The 9,592-nt window shown below is 35.4% G+C and overlaps 1 annotated feature.

Moving 5' to 3' along the window:
* Positions 8,060 to 9,259: an enhancer, noted in NCBI's record as "MED14-independent group 3 enhancer chr9:83450894-83452093 (GRCh37/hg19 assembly coordinates)". NCBI's record gives its function as "activates an origin of replication core promoter dependent on BRD2, BRD4, P300/CBP and CDK7 cofactors, and independent of MED14, by STARR-seq in HCT116 cells {active_cell/tissue: HCT116}" and the evidence as "EXISTENCE:reporter gene assay evidence [ECO:0000049][PMID:35650434]".

A 9,592-nucleotide genomic window follows, 5' to 3' on the forward strand; every position in this document is an offset into this window, starting at 1 on the left:
TGTGCTACAAATCCTCCCACTATGTTGCGCACGTTTTAAATATCCAAAGTAAATGCCTCTACCCCCTCAAACCAGTCCTTCAGCTCTCCCTAGGCTGTTTTCTTCCCCCTTTTTGAAAATTTAGATTTCTTGCAATACAGTTTACATGCAGTGGAATTCAGTCTTTCTAGATCTACAGCTTGATGGGTTCTTAGTAAATGTGTGCAGTCATGAAACCATCGCCACAATTGAGCTACTGAATATGTGTATCCTCACTAAAAGTTCCCTTGTTCCCTTTTGGGTCAATATGCTCCTCACAATTCCCAGTTCCCGGCAACCACTGATCCGATTTCTGTTCTTATAATTTTGCCATATCCAGTATGTCATATAAATGAAATTGCACAATATATAACTTTTTTCGTCTAGTGTAACTTTTTTGTCCAGTGTAATGCTGTTGAGTTTCATCCTTGTTGCACGTTTCAGTAATTCATTCCTTTTTATTACTGAATGGTAGTTAATGGGCATCTGCGTGTTTCCAGTTTTTGAGTATTATAAATAAAAGCCACTATAAACATTTGTGTATTTGTGTATGTTTTGTGGACATATGTTTTTCTTTATTTTAGGTAAACATCTAGAAGTGTGACGACTGAATAGTTTATTAAATGTATGTTGAAATTTATACAAAATTGGCAAATGTTTTCCAAAATGCCTCTACCATTTTTTTTGCATACTCACCAGAAATATTTAAGGATTCTAATAACTCCATGTTTATATTAATATGTGGCTTGCCTTTTTTTCCTATCAGAGTACATGTGTAGTGGTATTTCACCATGGTTTCAATTTGGATTTCCCTAATGACTAAAGATGTTAAGCATATTTTATATACTTATTTGCCATTAATATCTCTTCCGTGGTGGAACATTTGCGTAAATATTTTTCCCGTATTATTTTATGGAGCCTCTTATGGAGTTATGAAGTCATCACATATTGTGTGGAAATCCTTTATCATATATTTGTGTTAACAAATATTTTCTCATACTCTGTGAACTGTTCCCTCCACTCCTTAAAGGTAGCTGTTATGAATTTGACTAATTCCAGTTTCTCAATGTTTTCTTTTGCGTTTATGCTTTAGGTATTCTGTTTAAAAAATATTTGGCTTGAAGTTTGTTTTAGTTTTTACAATTAGGTCTATGATACATTTTGATTTGATTTTTGTAATTGGCGAGGTGTAAGTTAAGGCTCATTTTTTGCTTTGGATGTTTCATTTTAAAGCAGCACCTAATTTAAGCAGCTATCCTTTCTATATTTAATTACCTGGGCAGCTGTACAAAAAATGGACTCACCATACATGTGTAGCTTTCCTTCTGGACTGTTTTCTCTATTCCATTAATATAAATATTTGCCTTATCCAAATGCCACATTGTCTTGGTTAGTATAGTTTTCTTTGAAGTCTTGAAATTAGGTAGTACAAATTGTCCAAAATTGTTGTTTTACTAGATATTTTGTTTCTTCATGTAAATTTAGAAAAAGTTTGCTAATTTCCACTAAAATGCATGCTGGACTGATTGGGATTACACTGAATCTGTAGATCAACTAGGGGAACACTGGTATTTTAACAATATTGAGTCTTCCAATTGATTATCCTGGTATATTGCCGAATTAAAATTTCCACATCAATGTTTTATAGTTTCGCACATATATTTTGTTACATTCATACATATTTCATGCTTTGATGCTATTGCACACATATCAATTAAATGTCATTTTAAATAAAAATAATAAAAATTAATGTCAATTTCCAATTTTTCAATTATAGTGTTAGAAATGCACTCGGATATTGTATATTGATCTCATACCCTGTAATATTGCCAAACATTCTTTTTTTAAAAAATTTATTATTATTATACTTTAAGTTTTAGGGTACATGTGCACAACGTGCAGGTTTGTTACATATGTATACATGTGCCATGTTGGTGTGCTGCACCCATTAACTCGTCATTTAGCATTAGGTATATCTCCTAATGCTATCCCTCCCTCCTCCCCCCACCCCACAACAGTCCCCGGAGTGTGATGTTCCCCTTCCTGTGTCCATGTGTTCTCATTGTTCAATTCCCACCTGTGAGTGAGAACATGCGTTGTTTGGTTTTTTGTCCTTGCGACAGTTTGCTGAGAATGATGGTTTCCAGCTTCATCCATGCCCTACAAAGGACATGAACTCATCCTTTTTTATGGCTGCATAGTATTCCATGGTGTATATGTGCCACATTTTCTTAATCCGGTCTATCATTGTTGGACATTTGGGTTGGTTCCAAGTCTTTGCTATTGTGAATAGTGCCACAATAAACATACGTGTGCATGTGTCTTTATAGCAGCGTGATTTATAATCCTTTGGGTATATACCCAGTAATGGGATTGCTCGGTCAAATGGTATTTCTAGTTCTAGATCCCTGAGGAATCGCCACACTAACGTCCACAGTGTTTGAACTAGTTTACAGTCCCACCAACAGTGTAACAGTGTCCCTATTTCTCCACATCCTCTCCAGCACCTGTTGTTTCCTGACTTTTTAATAACATTCTTATTAGTTTTTGTGATTGTAATTAATTGTAGATTTGGGAGTATTTTGTCTGTAGACAATTATATTATCTGTGAAAAGTTTTTCTTCTTCCTCTCCAATATTGATGCTGTTAGTTTCTTTTTCTTATCTAACTGCAAATGTTAAGACCCCCAGTACAAAGTAGGCCCACAGAATGGAGACCCAAGGCAGAGTTGACGTTGCTGCTCAACTCTGAAAACAGTCTGCTGGCAGAAATCCCTTCTTTTAAGACCTTCTACTGATTGGATGAAGCCCACCCACATTAGGGAAGGCAACCTGTTTTACTCAAAATCTATTGATTTACTTGTTAAACTCATCTTAAAAAATATCTTCAGAGAAATAAACAGTGGTTCTAAGTACCATGACCTTGCATATTTGACTCATAAAATTAACCTTCTCACTGCATCTACTGGGATGATTATGTGTAGCCTTATTTCTGGTTTTAGCCTCTATATGATGAACCATATTCATTGATTTGCAAATGTTTAATCAAGATGACATTCATGGCATAAATCATACTTGCTCATGATATAGTATCTTTCTTTCACATTGCTGGATTTGATGTGCTAATATTTTCAAAGACTTTGTATCTGTGTTTTTATTAGATTCCTACTGCTGCTGTCTGAAATTACCACAAACTTAATGTCTTAAGACAACATAAATTGATTATCTAGACATCAGATGTCCAAAATAGATTGTCCTGGGCTAAAATAAAGGTATCAACAGAGTTGTATCCCTTCTAGAGGGACTAGGGGAGAGTTTGTTTCCATGCTTTTTTCAGCTCTTGTTCATACATATTTTCTATATTTTTGACTGGATACTTGATGATATTAGTTGTAGTTATTACTTAAGTTACTTTCTGATTATTCTAACATGTGAGTCTTCACCAAGTCTCCTTCTGTTGACTGCTTTATCATTTAAAATAGATTATTTATTTCTTGCTACTTTTTGTGTTTTATATTTAAAAAAAGAAATATGTACGTTGCAATGTGAGGTAAAAATACAATGAAATAAATAATTTTTATACCTAGAAATAGACATGCCTCTTCTGCTAGGCTGTTAATGTGAAGGCGTTATGTCAATTTAGTTTGTAGTTGAGTTAGATGAGCCAGGCATGGGTTTTGTGTCACTACTATTAACTTTGGTGCACCTAAGCTTCAAATTCCTTCAGGGGTTGCCTCACATTATAGGGCTTAATGAGTGGGGCCTGGCAAGCTATAGGGTTTTTCATTGTCTTCCAACTCCATCCTCATGTTTAGATGTTTTTATACAATTGTGCAATAGAGGAGTCAGCAAACTTTTTCTGTAAGATACTAAATAATCTGGCTTTTTAGGCTGCATATGGTCTCCGACCCATATTTTTCCTTAGTTTTATTCTACAATCTTTTAAGACTGTAAACACCATTTCTTAGTTCACAAGCATTACAGAAACAGACTGCTGAGTGGAATTGGCCCACAGACTGTTTGTTGTTTGCCAACTGCTTCTCTTACTCTATCTCCCTGGGTAGACTATTTCAATGCCAAGCTCATGGTGGAGCTAGGTAGATCCTCTGTTTCCTTGTTCTAGTTTTAATATTAGGAAAGTTCTTGAATCTGGGCATTTGGGGGTGGGGCTTTCTCATTTTTCTTGCTCCTTTGTCCTCAAAGCAACCAAATTCTATCTTATATCTCTTGAGGTTCTAGAGCAGGAGAGAATTGTCATTTCTTCCCTTAGCATCAGAGAGAATCTGCTTTGTATTGTTGCAGTATCATTGGCCCAAGAGGTTTTCTTGTTTCTCTCCTGGAAGCAGAATGCTTTCATTGGAAGCAATAGATCTTCTCTTGATTTCTGATGGCATGAAGTAGAGCTTGCTATCCCTCTTCAAGAGGCAGAGGGGCTTTATATCTATCCCTCCACAATAACCCTGGGGACAATACAGTTTTCCGCCCCTTTCCCAGAGGTGTAAGTCTTTCACTTACAAGATGACAATCCTGTGACAATAACTCTACCTCAATGCAACACTGGCTTTCTGTATGCCTGAGCCACTGAGGGGTTTGCAGCAGCCTCCAGCTCTGCCTCTAATATTTCTTGACAGCACTCGGCAGGGTTCATGAAGCAGAGCCTTGGAGTGAATGTGTCTTTGGGCCTTCCAGGTATTCTAAACTGATGCACTAGCTTACACTTTAGCCTTTAAAAATTCATCAATATTTTAGCTAATTTCCTCTCACCTGCGTCTAAGGCAACCGCCTTCCCCTCTTCAGTTCTTCCAAGGGAGAAACAGGTCATGTTTCCCATCTCTCCTCAGGAGATCTTTGCCCTCTCTGGAATTCAGTTTCCTTCTTTGTGTTACAATCTCAAGTCTTGGATGGGTTCGAAGCTAGTTATAATTTCTTAAATTTTCTGGCACTCTCTCATGTTTAGAGTAGGAAGGACTGATTCCTGAGTCTTTCTACATCGTAAGCAGAAGCACTCATAGTACTTTCCTCTTTGGGGAGAAATGACTCAATAAATATTTAGTGATAGATACATTATTTGAGAACTCACAGACTTTAAGCCTTGTTCCTTTACAATAGTGTATTTCATATTATTTATTGTTTTCCTGCATATGGATCTTACACACAGTGAATATGGCTTTTTAAAATATCTAACATCCCACACACCCAGGGAGAATGACAGTTAAGCAAAATTCAGTAGTAGAAAAATGTCAATTCTATTTGTTTTTTGAATAAACCGTTTCTGGAGGAAAGAAGATGACCTGGTAAATTGGTTTAATGGAAATAGAATTTTTTTTTTTTACTTTTACATGTGTGGATTAGAATAGGGATATTGTTGAATACTCCAATATATTACTTAGTCATTATTAGTTTTTATTATTACTCATTCTTTTTACAAACATTTTGTTTTTATATATGCACTGCCAGATACTCTGAAGCAGGGGTTGTTTTTTTGGTCCATGGGCCAAATCTGGTTCACAACTTGGTTTTGTACATCTTCCAAGCTGAGAATGTTTTTCACATTTCTTAATCGTTATTAAAAAAAGTGGAGTTTTGGGACAGAGGCCACCTGTGGCCCAAAAAAACAAAAATATTTACTTTTACATCCTTTATAGAAAATGTTCCCTACTCCCTATGTCTGGAGGATACAAAGATGGGTAACACATTTTCCCTGTCCTCGAGGCCCTTTCACTCTGGTCAAACAAATCAGCCATACATATAAATAAGTAAAATGTGAATTAGAAAATCACATACCCTATGAAAAATACCAAATAGCATTAAATGAAGAAATAGTGACAGTAATGAATTCTTTCAGCTAAGGCATTCTGGAAACCACTTTGCTGGAGATGGCATTTTAATGGGACAGTAAAATATGGGTAGAATTAATATATGCAGGGAACTAAATAAATCAAAGAAGCAATGGATACCTAGATTACAAAACAAGAAAACTGGCTTTACAGCATATGGACTGAAAAATCATGTGATTCATTTATTTTTTTCATCCTCAGTCATTAGCCCTGCTTCAATAAGATTCAGTTTCAATTAAGATTTATTTTAAGTATTTTTTACAATTGGTATATAATCTCTCAGAAATTTATAGTTTTGCTGAGGAGACTGATAAAAATAGCTGCAATTTAATCTTTAGGTATACTCCATAAATTGTAATAATGACATGAAACCAAATAGTCATTCTTAAATTAGGGCCTGCATATCCCCTAGTGTTGCACACTTAGGCACCCAACCCATAGAATAAGCATGGCGTATGTACCCATGAAATTAATTTTACTGCAAAACTGGGGCAGAGTCTTTTTTGGTGTTGTTGTGTTGTTGATGTCTTTGAGAGGTTTGTCGCATACATACACAAGAATCGACAGAATGTATATTCCATGTCAGCTAATCCTTTGCTTTTTCATGAAAGTCCAAAGAACAAAAGGTTTTTGTGTGCTGAATAAGAAATCTAGTATTTTTGTGATAATTGAAAACCTAGCATGCCGTTTACATCATCAACAGCAAACACTGCTGTGACAAGACCAGAATGGTCACTAGTCACTGGTCCTCAAGGCTAATTCTTGTCTGTCCAAATAAGTTAAAACATGCAAATTTGAAAATAATTCTCACTGGCAACCCATTTGGGCTTTCCTTTTATTTTATAGATTTGTGTGTTAACTGACTGTTTGGCATTTTTGTTTTGAATATATACACTCATATACAATCATTGTTTCTTCCTGACACAACCACATTCAATAAAATGTTTTATGTACTGAGGATGGATTTCATGATCTTAAAAGTTTCTCCCATGTACTTTCCATTTTATATTCATCTCTGTTCCTAGATTGCATAAAACTCTCACCCTCTATCTTCAGGGGCCTTATAAATTATCTGAGCTGCTAAAAATGGAGGCTGCTGAAAATGTATCTACCAGGGAAAATTGATCAGATGTCTGCAAAGTATCAGAGCAGATACATTCTCTGCTGGATGGTGCATTAGTATATTATGCCTGCTGCTAAGGATAAAAAGGGCATACCCCACAGGGCTGGTGCTTTCTCAAAGGGCCTTGGATGATCCACAGGAATTGGTGGACCGTCTCGGCAGCTTCGTGAAAATGAACGTTGGTGAGTCTCCTAATGCTGCCCCTGAACCTGTTCACATAGTTCCCTGTGGGCTGAATCTTTCCCATGTTTGACTTCTCATTTTTCCCTCCAGCTCAATCACCCCCAGGCATATGAACTTCAGAGAAAGAGGGAATTCTTATATCTGTCTCTTCCTAATTCCATTGACATGGATTGAACCCTTCCTTCTCTCAAGTCTCCCCTTCTGATTTTCAAAATCCTGTTCTGGATGTCAAAAAACCTGAACACCTAGAGCTCTTTTAAATGCCCATAAAAACATCTCAAGGCAATAGGGATATCTCTCACTAATTAGCAAAGGCCACATTCAAGTTGGAAATAAAATGCACAAAGATAAATATTTCAATCTATGATTCAAATAACTTTATATGAACACAACCAAATTTAGCTGTAATTTCCACCACAGTAACTGCCACAATATTACAAAATAGCCAAAATGTTACTTTTTATTATAGTATCATTATTGTTGTTTGAAATTACATTTTGTAATGGATGTATAAAATATTGGCTTAAACCAGAAAGACTTAATCAGAAGCTTTGAAACCTGTGACTGTGAATTTATACAAAATTAGAAAAATAAAATTAGAAAACTCTGAAGGTATTGAGAGCGATCTCAGAAATTGTGTTCCAGAGACTCACAGTATATATGATGTTTAGTACATTTAAAATGCTACCATATAAATAGTAAGCATCAGCAAAATGAAATATATTTTGATGTCTATATAAAATATGGGTTTTTACGATGGAGGGATAACAAACCTAACACCTGTGAAACCTTTTGCTAAAAAACCCTGGGACAAAATAGTCTGATACTATCACTTTTGCAGAAGCATTTAAAACACAATTAGCAAATTTTGAAGAATAATTATTAGAGATCTTTTTCAAATTAAAAAAAGTAGAACACTGTGCTAGGGAGAATTCAATAAAAATATAAACAGGGAAATGAAATATCTTTCAAAGTTAACTTCAAGGGCATTTTCAAAATACTGTAAAAGATGAAGCTAATGTAACAGGAGACTATTTGATGGCACTCATGCTATAGGCATGACTAAATCTATTTTGGATCAAAAAGAGGCAGCCAAGCTGAAAAAAGGTGCCCATATCAAACTTTGGGAGTGGCAACCCACATCAAGGACATTGCTCATTCTGAATGACCCAGCACCTCTGCATCATTTACCAAGAATACTCACCTCAAGCAATATGCCTTCTGATTTCCTCAGTGTGTTCAATGGGGTGGCAAAAATGGAAACTTTCATTTAACAAAAACTCTGGTGATTTGAATAACTTTTTAAAAAACAATAGGAAGTGACTTTGAAAACTTACTTCACAGATGAACTCTAGCTTAATCTGGAAAATTGCAATCCACGTGTGCAGCAGGGTGCCACAGCATTGTAACTCTGGCTTCAATGATTGTTTTCCTCACAGGAAAGGGGAATTAAGACATCCAACAAAAGGTCAGGCTTTGAATAAGATGAATTAATTCCTTTTTTTGTCCTGAATGATAAAGAATGTTTAACAAAATTGGCTTATCCAGCATATACTTTTTCAAGGCTAAATAATGTCAATCAATAATGGCAAGAACTCTCAAGGTTGTTATTGTCTATGACAAGATCATTGCAATTAAAACGAATGCCGAGAGATGAAATAGGAGAATTGCTTGTGGGAATGATGAGGTATTTGAGCATTTTAGTTCAATTAAAACTAATGATGTTTACAATATCTTTGTTAAAGATAAGAATAACATCATCATTCATCTTTCTTCACTGAAAAGAGTTCTTTGATGAGTGTATGCCAGTGATAGTAAAATGGAATGCCTGCCTGTGGAGCAGAGAATTTTCAGCCCCATCATATTACTCAAATATACAAACAATTTATAAAATTTCTAACAAATAACAGTGTGAATATACATTGTCTTGAACTGTCTCTTTGGCAACATTCTTGGCATTTTTATCCAGTGATTATTATAATACAACCTATCCATCAGTAAAAGAAAAGAGCTATGGTCTGGCTTTGCATACATACCCATACTTATATTCCTGAAGGTAACACCAAGATGGATTTCCCGGTCATGGGACCATCCTCATTTCAGTCCATTTAATTTTTAAAATTCATCAACTCAGTGCAATATCTTATCCAACAACCAATAAATACGGAAAACAATTTATCTAAGTGTAAGCAATGGCATTTAAAGCCATAAATAATTTACATTAAAGCAAGCACAAATATTGAATAGAATGCAAAATTTGAAAGAATCATTAAGATAAAATACGGGAGCTATTATCTTTGAAGTGTCAACCAAAACACCCAGGACATATTTCCCTCTTATTTTAGGGCTACTAGGAAGAAAAGCCTGTGAAGTTTGGCATTATTTAACCAACTGTGATGCTTGTGTTTTCCGTGTATTTCTAGTAAGCTAGC

The sequence above is a fragment of the Homo sapiens genome, chromosome 9 (genome assembly GCF_000001405.40).
Source record: "Homo sapiens chromosome 9, GRCh38.p14 Primary Assembly".
NCBI classification, from domain to species: domain Eukaryota; kingdom Metazoa; phylum Chordata; class Mammalia; order Primates; family Hominidae; genus Homo; species Homo sapiens.